General features: G+C 38.9%; 1 annotated feature.

The window, feature by feature from the left end:
* Positions 17,655-18,155: an enhancer, noted in NCBI's record as "OCT4-H3K4me1 hESC enhancer chr13:37101466-37101966 (GRCh37/hg19 assembly coordinates)". NCBI's record gives its function as "activates a minimal SCP1, AML or CMV promoter by ChIP-STARR-seq in primed H9 embryonic stem cells {active_cell/tissue: H9 hESC(primed)}" and the evidence as "EXISTENCE:reporter gene assay evidence [ECO:0000049][PMID:30033119]".

The raw sequence follows: 23,678 nt of genomic DNA, 5'->3' as shown, positions 1-23,678 counted from the left end.
CTCTCCTTGACTCTGCCTATCTGCAGACCCCTGAGCGTCTGCTGCATCTTTGGTCAGACTCTGCTACAGGGCTTCCTTGCCTGCCATGGTAGACTGATTGACAAGTCCCCCGGCCATCAATTCAGCATCCACAGCCCATGGGCACTGACAGCAGCCCAGAAAGCTAAACCCAAGGGATCCACTCTGTCTGACTCTGCGGCTTTGCCCAAGGTTGTTGTAGGTAGTAGAATATCTTAAATGATCATCAGTTCCTGAGTTGTCAGTGTCAGCATTGCTCATATAACACATCTACCTCTCTCTCACATCTAAGTAGGTTCCGTGTCATCAGCTGTCAGGTCTTCTGGTTTTGGTATCAAAGACAAAGGGGTTATCTCAGAGGAAAATCCACAATTTTGAGTCTTTGGTGCATGGCTTCTCTTACTGAAGGTGGGTGGGAGTGAATGTGTAAAGACAGGTATGAAATTCCCTATCCCTACAGTTACCTGATTTTCAGTGTTATTGCTCTGTTGCCGAATCTTAACTTGCATGGGAGAAGTTAAATATTATGTCCAGCTTTCTCTCTGCAATCTTCTGTAATATTTTTCAAACCCCTCCCCAACCCTGCATACAGATACGTTGAGCCAACCAGGACCAAGGTAAAGAACTCACGTAGGTAAAAAGAAAGCCCATTAATGGATTTTAAATAACATCCCTGTTACATATATAACTCCCATTCCCACTCCATTTTGTATGTTCCGTATTTGTTTCCAGACTCTTTCCTAAATACTTCAAAAGAAAGAATTATTTATTTATTTATTATTTATTTGAGACAAGGTCTCACTCTGTCACCCAGGCTGAAGTGCTAAATACTTCAAAAGAGCCTCTTTCCCAAATAAACGCAGCCAGAGGCTGAGCACCCATTTCACGTTGATGAAAATTTCTGTGTGCCATGCACATTCACCATACACACTACATCCATAGCCAAGCTCCAAAATCCTTTGTCTTTTTTTCTGGACAAGATTGGTGCTTTGCAAGCAGAGGGGGGAAGCTCATAAATGGCCCAATGCTATAAAATAAGGCAAATAAATGTTCACCTACTATTCATTATACACAGAGAATTTTGAAAGGAACAAGTGTTAGATTTGATCTAAATAAATTACATTGATCAAACAAATTAAGAACAAAGAGGTTTCCTTGCAGCAGGAGAGGCTGCAGAGCAGGTTTGTAAGCTCTCAGTTTGGGATGGAGCTGAGTGCTTTAGATATATGGGGCTCTTCCTTCAGCATGTGTCAATCTGGGTTTTAACTGTTGTTAAGTTAAAGTTTATTAAGTTAAGAAGCATCAGCAATACCCAAGAAAGCATGAAGGTTCCAGCAGCTATGTTCAACCCATGAAAAACAGAAGCAATTTGAAAGATGGAGCTCATTTTCACAAGCAAAGCAAAGGGAAAAGCCAGTGAAGCATGGAGCCACAGAGCTAGCTGAGAGAATGGAGGTAAGGGCTGCTCCTGCAGATCCCTGTTTGCTAACAGACAGCCTAGGCCAGCGACACAGGAGCTTTCGCTGGCTGTCAGATCATTTTCAGAAGCAGCAATTCATGTCACGCTAATAGCTCAGTCTATAATTAGGCATATTTATCTAAGTCTCTGTGATCTGTCTCCTGCCTCTCTGTGCTTGGTTTCCTCCAAGAACAAATAATCCCAATGAGTTATGAGTCTCTCCAGAGTGGCAAGTGGGAGTGTGTGTGTGTGCTGAAAGCCCCGTTATCAAATGGTCTAAATGCAATCTTCTTATTGTTCAAATATGTGGGTAGAGATTGTCTCTTCTCATGGGAAGTGGATTCTTCAGTGCTTACCAGAAAGAGCTGGGAAGCAAAACACATTGTCTGCCACAAACTGACAATGATCGTGCTATTTCTGTGTCTTCCTATATTAGGTCAAAGGAGTACACCTTTGCAATTGACTTCAAGACTGCTTGAAAAGATGATAAATAAGAGCAATTAGTCAATTAACATTTTAAAATTATTTGGAAAGCCATAAAATCTGCTGCAGGTTGAAGAGCCTGAGAGTAGCTGTCTGCTTTTGTTCTTTTTCTTTATTTCAGCATATTTTGCAATTCAAGAAGTAAGACATTATCATCAGGTGGACTGATTCATCATGCATGGGCCAGTAAGGCAATTGGAAGAAAGTTGGGTGTCCTAGAATTTTACTGGGCCTTAATCAGCTTGATTCTCCATGTCTGTGGGATCCCTGGTGAGGCCCTCCTGCCAGAAGACTGATGCAAAAGACCGCCCTTTGTACTTTTCTCATTTTCCAGGGAAGCTGTGGCATCAGCCAGCTATTGCCTGGCTTGTTGCTCCCTGGGAAATAGTTTTCCTGCACAAATAATGTGCACCCTCTAAATTCTAACTCCTCTGCTAGGGCTTTACATCATTCTTGTAGCAAGTATGTAGTACCCACCAACCCAGGCTGCCAGTCAGAAGAAGATGCAATAATTATAAGCTGCACCAGATAGATGCTTTCTAGAAATAAAGATTGGAATCCACTTTTTAAAAACAAATATCTTTGGTTGCTTACTCTGACACACCAGCTCCTTTAATATTCAGAAAAATCCTGAAGATAAATATTTTCACATCCTCATTTTCCAAATAAGTAAATGGATGCACAGTAAGGTGAAGTTACTGGCCCAAAAAGCCACAACTAATATGAGGCTTCAGTAAGTTTCAACCCCTGGTCTGCTGTGTTTACAGCCTGTGCTACTTTGTCACACTGTCACAGAGTCTCAACCCTTGGTTTCTGTCTAAGCAGGCTGCCTCTTCTAACTGAAACAGAAAGGTATTTGCACTGAGCTTTTGCTGACTGATATGGAAGAATAAAATGTTAGTAATTTGTATTTCACGAGTCCATAGCTCCTTTTATCCAGATTATAGGCCATTTTCTACCCTTCCTATCGAAGGCAAAGGACTCTGGATGAAGTTGAATGTTATTCTTATGAATCACATACACACATAGAATCAGGTCGTATGCATCACTTTCATGAAGCTTACATTTTCTATTCAATTGACCATTGGACTGTATCAGAAACTCCTGCTATTGAAGTCAAGCCTAGATGAGCACATCATATTAAAAACCTGATAAACTGTGCACATTCACTAAATTCTAATGTGCCCCAGTGGGACTTCCTGTGTATGACAAGCTGCTCATTTCTCATGGAACTCTGAAGCTGGATAGACTGGAAATGCAGAAGTCAAGCAGCCCAAGAGATTTATATAAGACAACAGCATCAACCTCTTCCATTACATCTTTGTTAGGGCTTTTACTCAAGCTGCAAAACATATTTGTATGACTTTGATATCCAATTCATTCTCCTCGCATCCACTATTGACAAAAAGACAGACGGCAGAAGAAAATACACAAGAAAACAAAGAACTAAGTCAGTGTTTCTCCAAATGTGGCAGCGACCCCTATTTCATCATCCCATGATGTGCCTGCTAGAAACTCAGGTTTCTGGGCCCCACCCAAGATTTAATGAACCAGAATCCCTGGGGCAGGCCTAGGAATATACATTTTAATAAGCCTCTGAGATGATCTCTAACTCTTGAAAAATTTGTGAACTATTGAGAAATAGTCAGCAAGCTCAGTACTAAGTCCCTATATTAATTAATAAATGAAAATATTTTTTAAAAGATTAGAGACATTGGTAGTGCCAAATTATACCAGTGCTTAAGATCTTTTGTGTCTTTAAAGAATAATGACTTAGTGTTATTAAAATGATACACGCTTAATATTTAAAATTTGAGTGAGAAGATCTAAAAAAATTGGAGACGTCTGCGTACATGGATTGAAATATGGAACTCAATATAATAAAGATGCCAATTGTTCCCAAATGATCTATAGATTTTATGCAAATCCTAGCAAAATTTCAGGAGGATTCTTTGTAGATATAGACATGCTGAGTTAAAAAAATGTATGGTGAAGCAAAGAAACTAGAATAGCTGAACAATTTTGACAAAGAAGAATAAAATTACAGAAATAACACTATCTGATTTAAAAGTTTACTATATAACTACAGTAACCAAGACAGTATGGGACTGGCAGATGAATAGATAGATGGATCAATGGAACAGACTGAAGAGTTCATAAATAGACCCCTGGAAGCACAACCAACTGATTTTTTTTTATATTGGTGCAAAAAATCTCAGCTGAGAAAGAATAGTCTTTTCAACAAATGGTATTGGAACAGCTGGATACTCATAGGCAAAAAATATTAACCTCAACCTAAACCTCACACAGTATCCTCACTCTGCCTCCCTTCATGTAACTTTTCACTACATTGAATATTATATTTATTGTGAAATTTTCTATCTCCCAACAGTGGAAAATAAACCCTATGAGGACATAGACTTCTTTTGTTTGGTTTACTATTGTATCTTTGTAATGTAGAACAATGTTTGGCATATAGTATAAATTCACTAAATATTTACTGAATAAATGACAAAATGAATGGACTCAGGAAAGAAAATGGAAAAAGCAACAAATTATACAATCTCAGCACCAAGATATAATTAGTGTGATAACATGATGTACACCATTGCAGACATCTTTCTTTGCATACATTAATATAGACACATGGATGATAGGAAGATGGAGAAAATGGATAGATGGAAATAATTTTACAGTAAGAGAATGACAGAAAGCCATTTTAGAAAATAAATTAATGTTATTTTAATTTAATATTTAAAAACTAGGTAAAACTGCATATAAATTAAAGTTTTCTTACCATAAGATATTAGTTTTTGTAAGGGTCCTATAGTGTTTACAAAACAATGATTGGAACATTTGAGGTTGGAGTTATTATATTTTTTAAATTATATTCTCAATTTTAGAAAGTTTCAACTGACTCCTCCCTAAAAATGATGAAAATATTTACTCTTATAATTCTTTCCACTTCCTTTTCTGCCTAACATTTTTACTTTTGCTTTGTCAAGGTCTATAACACTAAAGTAGCCATGAGTTCTACAATTGTTCAATTTTAGTTTTATGTATAAATGCAGTGCTCCATCCCAAGGATGTTACCACAGTTTCTTTATTCTGAGTTCTTTATATTGATCTCAATTGATTACATTTTGTAATTGTGTTGATTTTTTCAAAAAAGGCTATGAGTACTAAAGCCCCCAAGTTCTTTCATATTTGAAACTGTCCTCTATATCCTTTTATTCTTGAAAACAACCTAACAGGTACCACATCCACCAATAAAGGATTAACTTCTGCAGAAATTGGCCTCCTTTCATGAAAAAGCTAGAACACTGAACAAATTATATGAAACAATTATTCTCAGACATTGAACAACAGCTCAGTCAGGATAAAACTATAATCCCTGAAAGAAAATAAAAAATAAGGTGAGCCTGTGATTGCCTCACCTGGAGACAGTTTCAAGGACATAGCACAGAATAGGGGTTGATATATGTATTAGTTAGTTCTTACACTGCTATGAAGAAATACAAAAGACTGGGTAATTTATAAAGGAAAGAGGTTTAATTGACTCACAATTCCACATGGCTGGGGAGGACTCAGGAAACTTGCAATCATGGAGGAAGGCAAAGGAGAAGCAGGCACCTTCCTCACAGGGTGGCAGAACAGAGTGAGTGTAAGCAGGGGAAATGCCAGATGCTTATAAAACCATCAGATCTTGTGAGACTCACTCCTTAAGACAAGAACAGCATGGAGGAACCACCCTATGATTCAGTTACCTCTACCTGGTCCCACCCTGACACATGGGGATTATTACAATTCAAGGTGAGATTTGGGTGGGGACACAGAGCCAAACTATATCAGGGTACACAAACAGAGCCTGGCAATATCACTGACTTGAGGAGATGGAGATCAGTGTTTGGAATGTCAAGGCTGCCAGAATGTAACAGACACAGTATAGGAGGAGAAGAACCTGTGTAGAGGGACATCCCTGGAGATCTACAAGGGAGTCCCCTTCAGTCCCACTGAGTCCTTGTAAGTGAAACTCCATGAGACTGAATAAAGAACTACTGAAAAGAAGTAGCCTGAACAATTACTGGAGTACTCACAAGGCTTGGAGTAGTTCATATTCCCATCTACCAGGATGGAGAGGCCTTATCACGATACACGGATCATTGGTAAGAGCCCTCAGAGGAGTCTTGCCTTAGAATGGGCTAAATTAGCTGTAAAACAAAGATTGCTTTAGACCCACTCTGGCCAAAGGTTAAAAGCAAGCCTCAAGAAAATCAAATTGACTCAAAGTAGCTTGACTGCATGCCAGAGTAAATTACAGTACTCATTAGAGGAATATAACTAAATCCACCACCTAGCAACATAAAACCCACAATACTTGGCATCTAAGAAAAAAAATATTGCATATGCAAAGAGGCAGGAAAATATACTAGATACTTAGGAGAAAAATCAATCAATATAAATAGATTCAGAAATGACAGAGATAATGGAATTAGCAAAGACATTAAAACATTCATTTAAAATCTTATAAGGATTCTCAAGGATATAAAAGAAAACATGAACATGGTGAGGAAAAAAATGAAAAATATAAAAAAGAACCAAATGGAACTTCTAGAGATGAAAAATACAGTACAAAAAATGAAAAATAAACTAGATGGAATCAGTGTAGTAGCACTAATTAGCAGCAGATTAGATACCGCAGAAGAGATCAGCAGGTATAGCAATACAAACTATCCAAAGTAAAGAGCAGAGAGAAAAAATACTGGAAAAGTGAATAATGACCCATGGGACAATATAAAATGTTCTAATACCTGTATAATATGAGTGTGAGAAGGGGAAACTGGGGGAAAGGTGGGCATTTTTTAAAAAACTTGAAAACATAATGGCTGAAAATCTTCCAAATTTAATGAACACTATAAGCATTTATATCAAAGAAACTCAATAATCCCCAAGGAGAAGAAACATAAAGAAAATCATACCAAGACACATCATAATTAAATTTATGAAAAACAGTGATTAAAAAAAAGAGCTACCCAGCTGAACATAATATTCTAGGATCACACTTTCTTTCCCTCAGAACTCTGAGGTATTTTTCCATTCTGTTTTCCATCTGGCATTGATTGTTATTAAGTCCAAGTTAAGCCTGATTTTCCCCTTATGGTTGATAAGACGTTTGTACTTGGCTGTTTGAAGAATTCTTCCTTTCTGCTTAACCAGGACATTATTTGTTCATCACCACTCAGTATTATTTTTAACTTTCAACATTCAAATTTATTGCATTTTACACACTCAAATCAACATTTTCATCTTAAGGAAGATTTTCTGAACTACAGTTCTTGATACTTTTCCTGTTCTTTTGTATGAGTTTTGTACTAAAGATACTTATCATCCTTACATTTAATGATCTCGGTCTTTTATAGCTAGTGCTTTCTCTTTCATTGCTTTAATCCTCCATATTTTTTTCCTGTAGTATTATTATCTCAAGCTAGTAATTTTATTTTCATTCCTGTGTATTCTGTTCCTTGTGTTTTCTAATTATATTGACAATGATTTTGTTTCAGGGGAATCTCTTCCTGTCTCTCTCTCTTATTTTATAATTTTGGTTTCAAACTGTTGTTTTATTGCATTCATATATCATTAAATTTTCATATAGTGGAGAGCAGTCACAGAACTAGTTTATACTTTAGTTATATTTTCTTCCAGATTGGGCTTATCTTGTTTTTGCATTTTGTCCTTTTTTTCTTATTTTCCTGAGTGTTCTTTTTCAATTTGCCAGTACTTACTGTGGGCAGACATTGTATACACATTATTTTGCTTTGATATAGAGTAGTATAAATTTCTTTTGACTCCTTTCCTAACATTTTGGAGTCACAATTTGAAAGTTCTGCCTTCTATGATTTTTTCTCTAGGCTAAGAATACTGGAGTTTGTTAGCGAGAGATCCTGACTGAACTGACTGCAGTCCTTGTTTGATATTGGTATTTATCTCTTCTGAGATCCTGTTAAATATACTGTACCAGAGTTCAATCCACCCAGCCAGGGGCCATCCAACTTCAAAGAACTTCAATACACTTCAGCCTGATTTATCCAAAACACATTCCCCAAATGGTCTTTTAAAAAAGCTGTAATATAAAAAAATACCCTGAAACAAATTTGAGCTGTTTGGGAAGAAAAATTCCCACTGGAAGTGGAAAGAGAGTTAACCAAAGTAGTTTTTGCAAATAATTGCATTGAAGGCCGAACACATGTGAACCAGAAAGGCTCAACAATAGGCGAAATGAATAGACATGAAAAATCAAGTCTCAAGTTAAGTGAAAGGAATAAAGTCAATAATAAATGATGTATAAGGCAAGGGAGAATGTCTCCATGGCCATTTGGGAAGGCTACTGAATGGAGAGAATGTAGCACTTGTAGAAAATAAATGATGAATGATGTGTGTATATTGATATCCAATGAACAAGAAACACATGGAAAAGAAAGCGTTGAGAGTCCTTGAAAACTGCAAACATCAATGGGGCTGTAATCAAAGACATGAGTGAATATGACTAAAATAAATTGTCCTTTGAACTTAAGAGGAAAAAAATGCAAATTTTTGAGAAATGAAAGAGTATGATACATTTCTGAAAATGTATTAGATCATATGCCAGAGGGTGACAAAGCTGAGCTATTACTTTTATTCAGAGCTGGCGACTCCATTGCAAGTAGTGTTTTTCTTATTGCTAAGCTAAGTAAAGGAACCCTTAAGATATGTGGTTAGAAATTTGAATCCATGTAGAGATTAACTAATTTCACTGACAGCCACAAAAGAAGCAGCCGAATTCAGGAAGCCTTGTTTATTCAGCTGGTGCTTCAGCCAATATTTATTTGCTTTATTATAAGATACCTGAACATGTAGGGTAATATATAAAGATTTTGTCACATTTGTAAATGAAAAAAGAAAAGCTCATTGGATGGCGGTGAGGGGGACCTTTTGTTAATTGGGAAAGCATCTTTGCTAAATGGTTTTGATTATGGGAACAGGAGCTGCAAAAAGAGTATGATGCCTTTCTGCAAACGTATTAGATCATATGCCATGTTTTTGGAATTTTGCCTGATTCCCTTTTGTCAATAGTAAAGAAAGTTGAATGGTAATCGCTATGTGATTTTTTTAGCCTAACAGAAAACCCAAGAGAAAAGCAGAGCCTTATTTTGGCCTTTATCCAGTAGGTATTTAAAGTCCTTTTTAAATGGCCCATCTTTCTTGTTCTACATAATGATGGCAGAAGAAATTCCTGCTCATTACATCTTTAATGTATGTTTATGCTGTTAGGGAAACTAATGACATGTCAGTGAGCATTAAATGTTTGTTTATTTCCTGAGCAAGGCTATCCGTACTATGGATGACAGTTCATCCATCCGTGCATGAAATACATTACCAGATTTCTCAATTTCTTTTATAGGAAAGACTGTAATTCACATGGATAAAAAGGGATATGAACTTTAAGATTCTGCTTGGGTTTTACTACATTCTTTCCTTTTCCTTATGTTGCAGTAAGATTATCAAAGGATAGAAGATAGTACTTTAAGAAGCTATGTGTTTACAAAAATTCTTTACTTTTCATTTTATCAATGAAAAAGTTTAAAGTAGATCGTATATAAAACAAATAAATATAGGTTAGTCAAGTTATTTTTCTAAGATTCTAGGGTAGTAAATAATTCATTAGCATGAGTGCATGCTTATGATTAATACATGAAAATCAAATTTCTACCTTGAAAATCAGTTTTTACCTAGAAATGGCAGTTGAGAAACCAGTGTAAATTTAAAGTGCTGGGTTATTAATTAACTGAAAGTCAAATATCAGAGGGAGTTGAATAAGTTTATAATACAGTATCCACGCCCTGAATTCCTTAGCTGTCAAAAATAACCACTTTCATTTATCCAAAAATCTGATTCAACAGAAAATTATTTGTAAGCTGTAAAACACTACAAACATATATCTTTATGACTAAAATTGACAATCTTTTTATTTTTTAGCTCATTTTACATTTTAATCATTACTTTGATAATCACATTTTTTTAGATTCAATTGTTTAACTGAGGGGTAGTGTTGCTACCTCCTTGGACAGACCCTAAAGTAACCATTAAAAATTAAAGGAGATATAAATTAGCACAGCCATTATGAAAAACAGTATAGAGATTCCTCAAAAAATTGACAGTAGAACTAACATAGGCTCCAGCAATCCCACTACTGGGTATACCTCCAAAGGATATGAAATTAATATGTCAAAGAGGTACCTACATTCTCATGTGTATTGTAGCATTATTCACAGTAGGCAAGATAAGGAATCAATCTAAGTATCCATCAAGGGATGAATGGATTGCAAAATGTATGTGTGTATGTATATAATACATACAGAAATATTATTTAGCCTTAAAAATCCTGTCATTTGCAACAACATGGATGAATCTGGAGGACATTACGTTAACTGAAATAAGCCAGGCGCAGAAAGATAAATACTACATGATCTCACTTGCATGTAAAAATGAGAAAATTCAGACTTACAGAAGCAGAGAGTAGAATAGTGGTTACCAGGGCTGGAGAGAGGGTGGAAATAGGGAGACATTGGTCACAGGATACCAAATTGCAGTTAGACAAGAGGAATGAGTTCAAGAGATCTATAATCACATGGTGATTATACTTATTAACAATGTGATGTAGAGTTGAAACTTGATAAGCAAGTAGATTTTAAGTGTTCTCGCCACGAAAGAATAAGTATGTGAGGTAATGCATATGCTAATTAGCTTCATTTAACCATTCTATAATGTATACATATTTCAAAACATCATTTTGGACACAATAAATATATAACATTTTTATTTTTCAATAATAAATGGGTAAATAAATGTGAAATATACAAAAATTAAACAAGATGGCTTAACCAAAACAGGAAGCAGTGCACGCACTGTGCTGCTCTTGGGAATATACTAGATAGAGGGACAAACCAGTTTCACTCCCGAGAACCAAATGGAAGATCAAACTTGCCCAAAGTTTGCTTTGAAGCCTGCTTTTCCTCCTGATTCGCTGTCAGCTAATGACATCACCCTTGCCCCAGGGTAATAAGCTACATTTACTTTGGTCAGGAGCCGTTCTATTCACTTTATATATAATAACTAGTATAATTTACATTTGATAACTAATAGTACCCTATGAGATAGGTCCTGTTATTTTCATGTTCAATGGGTGAGAGGCAGAGCTGGGATTTACATCTAGTCTGGTGGCAGCGGAGTTGTAACCACTATTCTGGTCTTTAAAATCCTCCCTCATCTCATCTGTACCAAACCCTGTCCTTCCATCCCTTCCTTTTTATTCCCTGACCTCAGCAACTCTCACATGAGCCATTGTGGCAGCTGCCTTACTGGTGAGAGTGAACAGACAAATGAACACTAGCCAGACTATAGGTTAAAAAAGAACTCTGACCCACAATCTGCAGCAACCTGCCCAGGAAGCCAACCCATTTTCTAGTCAATAGCCTAGAATGCAACCTGCTATCTATGAGTCAGACTTACGGGAAGTCACATCATTGTCTCCAGCAATGAGCTCAGGAAGCCAAACAATAGCACCTGTAACAATCAGCCAGGACTTGATTCATAACTGACAAATTCTCTACTTTTCTCCGTTTCCAACTTAAGTCCAACAAGAGAAAGACAAATATGCTTCCCTAACCAATCACAGATGATGCCTGGCTCCAGGTTAGCTGCCTATAGCTTCCTCATGACAGTAGCCTCTGATTAGGCCATGCCTGACTCTTCCCTTTTTCCACTTTAAAGCTTTCTCACTCCTCTGCTTGCCTTTGAATCTCTTTCAAAACACCGTCATGATTCCCTTGCTACAGGAAGCTCTGAATAAATAGCCATTGCCTGCTCTCATTTGCTTGGTCCTTGTTCATTTTACACTGGTAGCCAACTACCTCCATACCTTCCTCTCTCAGCATAGAGATAATCTAACAGACAGACTGTGTTGTAGAAAGATGGAAGCACACAAATATCCATGGAATGATGGGACTTGAGTTGTGCTTTGAGAGTAAGCAGGATTCAAAATGCTGGGCAGGAGGCTGGGAGAACCACACGGGCAGAGTGAATGGTGTGTGCAGAATTGAAAGAAGTTCCTTTGTGTCCTTAGTCTCCTAAGCCTCTTCCTCATGGGGAAGGAAGGCTGGGCCATGGTGTAGATATAATCCACTTTACACGTTGCCAGCCAGCTTACTGGCTACAGAATTGCTGTAACAGTAGTATATTGTCAGGAGCAAGTAACATGGTAATTGAAGGGTTTTGTGAGTACAGTTAAAGTTGATATCATTAACAATACAGGGGTTCCTGTAGCGCTGATAAAACAACTCATACTTATACCAAAAGAGAAAGCAGTACCTAGCTCCTGAACCAAGATTGCAGAGTCAAATGTGCAGATGTGTAAGAAATTGTAACACGAGATAGGTTTTGCTGTAGGTCATGTTAGCTCATTTATATTCTGTAAGTCCCAACAGCTAAGAAACAACAATGTACCTGCGTATACAGAAAGCAAAATCCACTTGAAATTGTACTGAGTAATGAAGAATTTAAACTAACTGGACTTTGCAAATGCGTGGAGATCAACAGCAGGTCACTCACTTGCAATTACTTCCACGGTTGCTTTTAAGGTTTGAAGAACCTCTCAGTAAAAGCAATGAAAGTCTTTGAATTCCAAGCAGCAGCTTGACATTCTTGGATAGTTGTAACCATCCACTTTCATAGGTATTTGTTTATAAAGGGAGAAATAGACTTATCTTAATTTTTTTCTACTAACTGTCAAGAAGTCATGAATTGGGATAGTAAAGCTTCCAGTGATGGAAAGGAAGACATTGCAGAATAGGTGCTTCAGCCTAGAGTGACGTCCAGGTTCAGTTTTACAAGGTCAGAGTCCCTGAAGAGGGTTCACTAAGCACCAACAGTCCTGTGTTCACGTGTATGTCGTGGCTAGATTCCACAGCATAGAACAGTGCTGGCATAGGGTTAATACTCAGGAAATAGTAATGAATACAGGGATAGATGGACAAATGAATAAATGAAGTGATACTCCTAGGAGTAAAGCCAGGTTATAGGATTGCACCAGCTGTACCTTCATTCTCATGCTCCGGACAATCCTTTAACTTCCTTTCTCAGTGCTTCGAGTGCCTTCAAGGCAGCTGGCAATTCCTCTTCACTCAAGTTCTACTTCTAAATTAGTCCACGCCCTCCAGGAATAACAGTGGCAGTTAATACTTGAGTACTATTAGTTCCAGACACAAAACAAATCCCCTTCTATGCAGGTTCTTATTTAATCCTCACAAAACTCTATTGGTGGATGCTGCCATTATACTCACTTTACAAATGAGAAAACAGAGGTTTTGCCAAGATAAGAAACTTGTCCAAGATCCACAAATTTTGGGGCAGAGTCGGAACTCAGACCCAGTTCATCTGTCTCAGGAAGTCTGTGCTCTTAAGAGTGATGGCCGTTTGCTTCCACCATTTCCTCTCCTGCCTGGACCATTGCCAGGACTTGCAAATTCCTCTCTCTGTTTCCTCACCACTCTTTCCAAACTATCCCACATCCTGCTGCCAGAATAACCATTTTTAAACCTGTATCTGATCATGAATCTTGCTTAATGCCCTTCAACAAATTTCCAATATCTCAGAAGAAATTTCAAATTCCTTTTTGAGGACTTCAAGATACAACATGACCTAGTCACCTCCCTATTTTTCTAACCTCATCTCCTGAGCTTCCCAGCTCTCAATTCTGTGCCCTAGTTTGCCTGGACTTACTCTATTCTTTCCTCTCTGGCATGACGTCCTCCCAGAAGCTGTCCTTATCCTGTGCTCACTCCAGGTTGGGGCAGATCCCCTTTTCCTGTGCCTCTTGAATGCCCTCAACAAATCTATACCAATGTGCTTTTCATATTCTAGTAATAATTTTCATGTAACTGTACTGTCCACTCCATCAGTGATAGATTGGATTATTGTTCCCAGTTCTTCACTACTTTCCTGTCATGAAATTATACATCTACCTCCTGTGCTATGTAGCTTTGCAGTGTCTCCCACAGAAACAAGTCGACAGCCCTACCCCACTGACTTGGCCAATAGACCTTGCCCCTTGGGAGAACTTCCCCTTACTGCTGTGTTTCAAGGCAATTTCTGAGTGGGAGTCCTATAACTGTCCTCGATTTTTATCTTGCTCGCACCCACCATAGATAGCAAACCCATCCATGAACGAAGCTCAGCATTTTGTCCTTTCCCAGTGGTGGTCATAAGGGAGAGTTCCTATGTGGCCACCTACATGCACAGAGTGGAGGAAAGAGTTGAGCTGTGGCACAGTCATGACAAGGGCTGTAGTCAGTTCCACAGGGATTCTGTCACTGCGTGGCCCTTCTGAATCTTCATCCTGGAGTGAGGGCTTCTACTCCCCTGTATCCACCAATCATTGAATGAAGCCTTCTCCAGAGAAGTGGCATGACCTCAAGCAAGGAGGCTGTGTCCAGCTGTGAACAGCTCCCAAAGTGGCTGACAGCTGAGTGACAACTGTGACCACAGAATCTCTATAAGCTGGAGGAATAAATTTTACATTTCCACTGTGAATCTGGGCAGGGAAGCACAGTGGCTGCTACACCAGTAATTTCCAAAGTGTGATCCCCAGACCAGCAGCATCAGCATCACCTGGGAACTTGATAGAAATGCACATTCGCAGGCCCCACCCCAGACCTACTCAATCAGATACCCTAGGGGTGGGGTCCAGCAATGTTTTAACAAGCTCTGCTGGCGACTGATGCACACTAGAGTTTGAGAACCAAGGGGATACACCAACACTGAAATTGTGCTTGGTTGGAAAGCATAGATTTGCTGAGTGGTTAATTAACATTGAAACAGCAGCTGCCTCACCTCCCAAGATGGCCACAGGGAGAACATGTGTAATATCACTGTGACAGAGAGGACCCTGGCCCCAGCCAGCGCCCCCATATGCAAGACTACATTCCTCTATATGGCTGTGTTGCTCCCAGGGATGGAAACTGAGTTGCTTGAGCACCTGGGCTGCAGTCTAAAGACAGATTGAATAATCCATTTCCCCCACATGGAAATGTTAGTGCTATTTGTCTGGTTGACTAATTCCACCTAGCTCCCTGCAGTCCTTGGCATCCTGCTGTCAGAGGCTCTGCATGCTCCCTCCCTCCCTGCCCTCACTGATCTGCTTCTGACTGGCCGCCAGCTTTGAAGACACATTTCTTGGCTGCTAATGAGTCCTCCACTCCTTGAAACTCCAGTTTCTCTGCCAACATTCAAGACAGGCGAGTAAGTCTCTCTGTAAATGTACTCAGAAGAATTAGATAGCATAGTCATTGCTTTTAGATTACTTAGAACCAGCCAGAGTGCACAGTGAGGAGAGTCTGTGCTCAGCTTATCTGTTTGTCTCTGGGGACTTCTGGGCCTCAGGTCCTGGCCAGGCTTTCTGTGTGGTCAGAGCCACCTTCCAGGTTTGTGGGCTAAGCTTTTGTTTTAGCCAGTGTTACCTGGGACTACCATTCAAGATTTGTATTAAGTGAGGGATCATATCGTGATGTATACATGTCTCCAACAAGAAGCTAAATTCATATGATAGCCAAATAGGCAATAAGAGCATCTTTTTTTTTCTTTTTTTTTTAAATTCTCGGCCACCTGCAGCAGAATTACTTGGGACGATTGTTAGAAATGCAAGCGCCAGGATGTCACCCCAGTTTTACTGAAGTAAAATCTGATAAGCAAGGAATCTTCATTTTCCAACAAGCTCCCTAGGTGACTTCTCAAGCTTTACTGATAAGATGCATATGGATCACTTTATTAGAATACGTACTCTCCTTCTGTGGCTATAGGGGGAGTGGAATTCTGCATTGCTAAAAGATTCCCAGGTTATAACTAGGCTTTTGGTTTGGGGACCACACTCAGTGGCAAAATTCTAAATAATTATTTGTTGTTGTTGTTGAAGAGCAAGAGATCTGAGAAATCCCAAATAATTCTAATGCCAATGAGTTTTAAGATCCTCCAGTATGCAGAGAGAAGAATCCAAACTGCTTAGCTTGGCATATAGAGCTCTGCAAGACATACCCCTACATCTTCATCTCCAAATCCTGCCACTCCTTGACCTGCACTTTCGGCTGCATTAATAACAAACTGTTTGTTGTCCACCCACCCCTCAACACATACATGCATGCATGCACATACACACACACATACACACACTGCTCAAAATACAAAGAAAATATCAGACTTCACCTTGCATATCATCTGCCCCCTCTCTTCTCTTCCGTAGCATCCTATGCTTACCTCAATCCTATCACTAACTCTATTTTATTGAAATGAACTGATTATGGTTCTCTCTCTCTCTCGTTTTTGCGTAGTAATACCTGAGAATCGTACTAAAATTTTTTTTTCACTTGTACAAATTTATGAGGTGCAAGTGCAATTTTGTTACTGCATAGATTGCGTAGATCAAGTCAGGGCTTTTGGGGTATTCATCATCCAAATAATGTATACTGTATACCTTAAGTAATTTCTCCTTATCCACCCCTCTCCCACCCCCGCCCCTCACGAAAATATCAGATCTGCACGAACAGTGGGAACACTGACGAATTCATCCTAGTAGTAACAGCACAGAGGATAGTAGGCAACTAATATATATTTGTTAAATTATGTGCCAAACACAAATATTACCATTATAAATATTAAAGAAAATTACTCCTCTTTTAAAGGTCCATTCCTCTACTTCAATTTATGAAAATTTCTGTCAAGTTTAAAAGGACCAGCAATCACCACCAGGACTCTGTGCCACTGCAGCCTAATTATTGCCACACATTTCCATGAATCCTCTCAATGCTCCTTTTTTTCCCCAAATTGTTCTTACAGCCAATAATTTGCTCCAAGAACATAAACCAACACTTGGAAGGTTTCTGTTGTCAAGACTAATTTCAGCGCCACTGACTAATTTCAAAAGAGGACAAGAGCAGGCATGGACATGTGATTTCACAGGAGGTGGCTTTGGGGAGTTGAGTTGGGAGCATTGATCAGCACTGTGCCCTTTAGAATCTATTCCTCAAGGTTACAGCCAAACCACCTTAATGGGGCCGGCAAAGGGCAGAGACGGCAGCTTTGCTCCTGTGGTATCATTCATCATGTTCGTAACCAGCGAATAGAGACTGATGAGGGAGCTGGCTGGAGAGGGCTCGCTGTTCACTCTCCCTCGCTGTGCTCCATGCCTCCCGCCTTGCTCCAGATACGTCCTCTGAGATGTTTACTCTGGAAAGCAAATATTGATACTTGCTGCCACTGGCTTTTTCATGAAATATTTGACTCCTTGATACACATTCTTTGCTTAATTGCTTTCCTTCATATTTCATCTAGTCTGAAACTGGGAAGGAAATTTAGCATTGTGAAAATTTACCTGGATCCCAAACCTCCCACCTTCTCAGGTAGTAGCTGTTATGGTCTGAAAGTTGTGTCCTTCTGCGATTTACATGTTGAAATCCTGACCCTACCCCCACAGGTGATGGTCTAGGGGGTGAGGCCTGTGGGAGGTGATTAGGGCATGAGGGCTCCACCCTCATGAATGGGATTAGTGCCCTTGTAAATGAGGCTTCAGGGAGCTTGTTCACCCGCTTCCACCATGTGAGGATATTGCAAGAAGGTGCCATCTGTGAAACAGGAGGGGGGCCCTCACCAGACACCAAGTCAGACAGCACCTTGATCTTGGACTTCCCCACCTCCAGAACTGTGAGAAATAAATTTCTTTCATTTAGAAACTACCCAATCTATCTATAGTATTTCATTACAGCAGCTGAATGGACAAAGACAGTATTCTTAAATAAGCCTAGAGGCATTTGGTGTTGCAAATCTTTCCTAGCTGAGCCAAGGGCTACAGTGGGCACAGAAGTCTGTGTGATTCGCAAAGGCAACTAGCCTGGGAACTGTTCCTCCCTCTGAGTTTCCTGAACAGACTACTTGGGCTCCTCGAAGAGTCTCGTCCAGCTGTGCACACTGGGGCATCTTTCCGAAGCCCAAACCCAGGCTTTGCTCACTCTCCTCCCACTCAACCCACCTAACTAGAAAAATTAATCATTCCAGGACAAATGCGTGAGGGTTTCAGTGGTGGGCTCTAGTTAACAAGCCCACGGCTCCCCAGCAGTTGGCCTCGATCTACACAGCCACCTCCCTTCTCCCTCCTCTGCTGCTTGGAGAAAAGAGCTTTTATTAATCATGCAACAATGTTTTTCAGGTTTTAGAAAACCTCACATGTGTGCATCACGTTAGGCCTTTAAAAATGCCAGTGAATTACAGGAAGATTCCTGCTGTTGCTCAGCAGTGCTAGATCAGAAAAATGCCAAACATGCTGCAAGTGGCTGTGGATGGATGCCACCTCCTGGCACCTGCCTGCAGGCACTCCAGAGCCTACCTGTTTCCCTTCTCCAGGTGCCTTTTGATGTAATTGAGTGCTGTCATCCCTGACCACACATTAGAATCACAAGGGAGGAGCTTTCAGAACATAAGTCACTCCCAGGAATTTTGACTTAACTGGTCTAGAAAAGAGCCCAAACAACAGTATTTTTTGAATGCTCCCCAGGTGATCCTAATTGAAGCCAAAGTCAAGGAACACCAAATTCTGTCTTTCCAGATTCTTTACTGGAGCAGGGAACTTTCCCTAAGTTAATCTCCCCAGTCATTAGCTTCACTTAGACTCTACCCCTATCCTCTCTTATTCCTCATCAGAATTTAGAACTTTTCAAATGGATGTGCTTTTTTTCTTAAGGGAGTTGCCCAGTTTCTGAACCCTTCTCCTATGTGTGGTGAATCCCACTCCAATAATATGCATTTTAGAAAGAATTAGGACTCACCTCCCACATTGAAGCTGAAAATGCCAGTACCCACTTTCCCGGCCTCCCTTGCAGCTAGACATGGTCAGGAGACCAAGCTCCATCAATCAGACCTACCTTCCTAGACTTTGACTTGAGAACCACTAGGGCAAAGGAGGAAAGGCTCAGGGAATCTTCACTGGTGACAGTGGTGATGGGTGTCCAGAGGCCAGGGCTGGTGGTGACAGAGTGCAAATGGCCCCATCCAATGTTTAGCAGCTACAGTGCAGTGTCCTCATTTACCTAATTTCCCCAGTATAATTTTGGGTCTCTGTGGGGCCTGAAGCCTGGTTCTCTCAATGATTCTGTGAGCACACATTTGTCTTTTAACATATTTCTTTCCCCTTTAAATCAACTACAGTTCATCTCTGTGTTTATACTAAGAACTCTGTCAGGTTCATAGAATCTCATGTCCTAGAGGAAAAGCTGCCTTTTTTGGAATGAGAGTTGTGCCCTTTCCTCCACCCGCAGCCGTTTGATACAAGTCCAGAGATCAGGTCTGAAATTTTCTGTTTCCATTCCGTTATTCTCATTCTTTCATACAGTTCTATGCAAAGATAATCTGGCTAATTGACCTTTATCATTGATCCACAGCAGAGCTTGGGTTAAGCCTCCACCAAAGTGGCTTCTGTTTCTGTACCCTCCATTCAGCTGCCACTGGTATCTGTCAAAAGGTGGCTGCATCATCAGAATAGCAGCTCAATTTGACAGACTTTGCAGCCTGACTTAACTGCACCAACTGTAGAAAGAGACCTCTCTATTCTAAGGGCATGGGTGAGATTTCCTAAAACTCTTTATTCACTTTATGAAAACAAAGAAGAAATGATATTTGACTGCTCTGTGAGGATTCCATTAGTAGATGCCCAGCCAAGGTGCAGCTGTTGGCAGCTCTAATTGTGAGAAACAGTCTGGGGTGGAAGGGTGCAGAGGGGACCAGGTGTCACATGGTATATCTCAAAGCCCTCTTTCATTCATGCTTCAGTGATGGTTGAATCATGAAAGGCATGGAATAAAGCTTCATAAAGCACCATGCTCATGGGGAAGTAGGCTTTCATCATGAACAGGAAAAACCTTGTGCTTGCACCCCACCAAAACACCTCCCTTCCAGTGCCATAGTAATCCCCAATTTGCAACTCAAATATCTAACACATAATCAAGCTGAGACCACATAACCAAGAGCTGCGTGAGTGAGCCACACTGCAAGTGGACCTGCCAGTCCCTGTCAGACTACTGATGGCTACAGTCATGGCCAGGAGTTTGACTGTAACCTCACGAGGTCCTGAGCTGGAATCATCCAGCTAGGAGACTCATATTTTATAGAAACCAGTTAAGCAAGCTAACAGTGAAACTTTCTCTGACTGATCCCCCAAAGTCCTGGCATTTTCTTTCATAGATTTCCTTAGGAATATTGATTATGGTACAAACTAAGAGAAAAATCCATGCTTTTGATGGAAGGCCTCCATTTTCTGTAGCTCCTTCACATGGAGTATTGACAAACATTTGCAATCTCTATAATTCTAGGAAATCCCATTTTTCTCAAAGGTTTTGGTTTCTGGGTGATGACCTGATAGACACACAATCTCAAATCCAAAAGCTTATGTCATGGAGAGAGATGATACATTAGTGCTCACAGAAGAAGTCAGACTCTGTGTTCCTTGAGGGCAAAGACAGTGTTCTTCTAATATTTGTGTCCTGAGCATTTGGACCAATGTTTGGTTCATAGAAGACATTCAACACATGTGTGAATTAAACAATAATGAGTGGATAGATGGATCAGTGGATGAAACAGAAATATTAAGGGAATAAGGAAAGGGATAGAAGGAACAAGACTGATTTTCACACAAATGCAATTAATAAGGTGAAATTAAAAAGTGCTCCTTGTGGACTTTAATATAACAGTTTCAGAGACCAAGGTGATAACTGCTCATGTCAAGGACTTTTCGACTGTTGATATATCAGAAAGATTACCCAGCCAGGATATTAAATAGCTAATATTCTCAGATCTGCCTATATCTTATATTATGTCCTGAACCATTCATTTAGTCTCCTAACACTTCTGCTTCAATATTCATAAAACTGAGATAAATTAGCTAATGTCTTAGATGTCTTCCAACATTAATGTTCCAAGATTGTATTAACTATTGCAATTGCAAATTGAAAATGCAAACTTACAGAAAGTACATTATTAGAATGAATACCATCATTTGAATTTTTCATTTTTGTATTTTTAATAACCTTTTGCTGTAGGCTTAAATTTTAAAAAATTGAGTTTGCTTTTGAAATATAACCATGAATAGAATTCATCTGGAAAAGAAAGTAAAATTCTGATGCCAGCTATGGGGAAAAAAATATTTTCAACAAATGATAGTAGAACAATTGGATATCCACATGGGAAAGAAGTGAACTTTGAACTTTATCTCAAGTGGTTGTTCAAAATATGCCCACAAATTCTTTGATACTCATCCCTTAAAAAGGTATAAATTAACTCCTATCACCTTGAATGTGAGATGGACTTAGAGTCTCACTTCTAATGAATAGAATCAAGCTGAAGTGATGGTGTCAAGCTTTGACAGTAAGTTACAAGAGACACCTTGATTTCTTCTTCACTAGTTCTTTCTTAGATCATTTGCTCTAGGGAAAGCCACAGCAAAGTTGTGAGGACACTCAGACAGCCTTGTAGAGAGTTTTATACAGCAAGAAACTGAGACCTTCTGTCAACAGGTATGTGAGTGACCCACCCTGCAAGCAGACCCCTTGGCCCTGGTCAGATTACTGAGGGCTACAGCCATGGCCAGCAGTTTGACTATAGCCTCATGAGGTCCTAAGCCAGAATCATTCAACTAAGCCACTTCCAAATTCCTGACTCTTATAAGCTGTGTGAGACAAGAAATTTATTTGTTGCTTTAACTGCTAAATTTTGGAGTAATTTGTTATTTAGTAGTAGATAATATACCTCACAGCAGGCATAAAAATGAAATCAAAATAATTATTGACCTAAATATAAAAGTTAAAACTATAAAGCTTCTAGAAGAAAACAAATGAGAAAATCTTTGTGATCTTGGACTAGGCAAAGATTTCTTAATTAAAATACAGAAAACATGAACTATAAAAGAGAATTTAACAAGTTGGACTTCATCAAAATTACTCATGATCCTCAAAGGACATCATTAAGAATGAAAATGCAAGCCACAGAGGAGGAGAAAATATATGTATTTATGTTTTAAGGACTCATATTAAGAATATAGAAAGAACTCAGTAATGAAAAGACAACTTGATTTTTATAACGTACAAAAGATTTGAACAGACACTTTACAAAATAAGATATTAAATGGCTAATAAGCATACAAAAAGATTCTCAATGTCATCAGATACTGAGGAAATGTAAGGTAAAATCACAGTAAGATACCTCTTGGACCTGCTAGACTCACTAAAATTAAAACTACTGATGATACCAAGTATTAGTGAGGATGTGGAGCAACTGGAACTCCTAAACACGTCTGATAGAAATGTAAAGTGGTAAAACATCAAATGGTTTGTACCATTTTACATTCACTGTTTTACTTAAAAAGTTAAACATACACCTAACTTATGATCCACACCTAGGATACTTACCCAAGAGAAATAAAAACAAGTGTCCATACAAAGACTAGCACATGAATGTTCAAAAATGTTCATAATAGCCAAAAAAAAAAAAAACCCATAAAGAAGCTAAATATTTATTAACAGGTACATGGATAAACAAAATAAAATGTATACATATTATATAATGCTACTCAACAATAAAAAGGAATGAACTGTTATATTTATGTAATAACATAAATGAATTTCAAAATCATTAGTTTGAGTGAAAGAACCCAAAGAAAAGAGAGTGCATATTGTATGACTATTTACATAAAATTTTAGAAAATACAAACTAACCTACAGTGACAGAAAGTAGACCAGTGGTCACCCATGGTTCAGAGTGGAGGAAGGAATGAACAGCAAAGGGACACAAGAAATCTTTTGGGAGTGATAAAATGTTTTGAATGCCCCCTCCAAAATTCATATTGAAATTTAATTGGCATTGTGATGGTATTAAGAGATGGAACTTTTAAGAGGTGATTAGGTCATGAGGGGTCTACTCTCATAAATAGATTAATGCTATTGTAGCAGGAGTGGGTTAGTTATTTCAGAAGTTCAGCCTTCTTTTTTCTTAGGCATGCACTCTCTCACCATGTGATACCTACTGCCATGTTATGATGCAGCAAGAAGGCCCTTACCAGATGCAGCCCCTTGATCTTGGACTTCCCAGCCCCAAGAACTGTGAGCCAAATAAATCTTTCTTTATAAATTATCCAGTGTATGGTATTCCATGATAACAGCAGAAAATGGGCTGACATGTACCTTGCTTGTAATTGATGTTGTATACAACTGTCAAGACGCATAAAATCTGCACTTTAAGTGAATGTAATATACGCTATAGAAATAATATCTCATTAAATTTTATTTAAAATTAATAATGCCCACCTCCTTGCATCTCAGCTGTGATCATCTAATACTACAGATTTGTAATAATACTATAGCCTAGAATAGTGTTTTGTCACATAGAGACCGAGGTGACTGGCAAATGACCTTGAAGTCCATGGAATCATTCAGGAATATAGAAGGCAACAAATTAGTAATTCCTTTTTACCAAATATTTCTTTGTATATGGATTAATTACCCTTACATTTCAAAAATGTGGAGTATTTAATAAATAATTATTTCATTCTACTTTTTTAACATCTAGTGACTTTCCAAGTGGCATGTTAATAGCCTGG

The sequence above is a fragment of the Homo sapiens genome, chromosome 13 (assembly GCF_000001405.40).
Source record: "Homo sapiens chromosome 13, GRCh38.p14 Primary Assembly".
In the NCBI taxonomy this organism is placed as follows: domain Eukaryota; kingdom Metazoa; phylum Chordata; class Mammalia; order Primates; family Hominidae; genus Homo; species Homo sapiens.
Note: the sequence above shows the minus strand (reverse complement) of the source record. Positions and strands in the feature narration are given on the sequence as shown.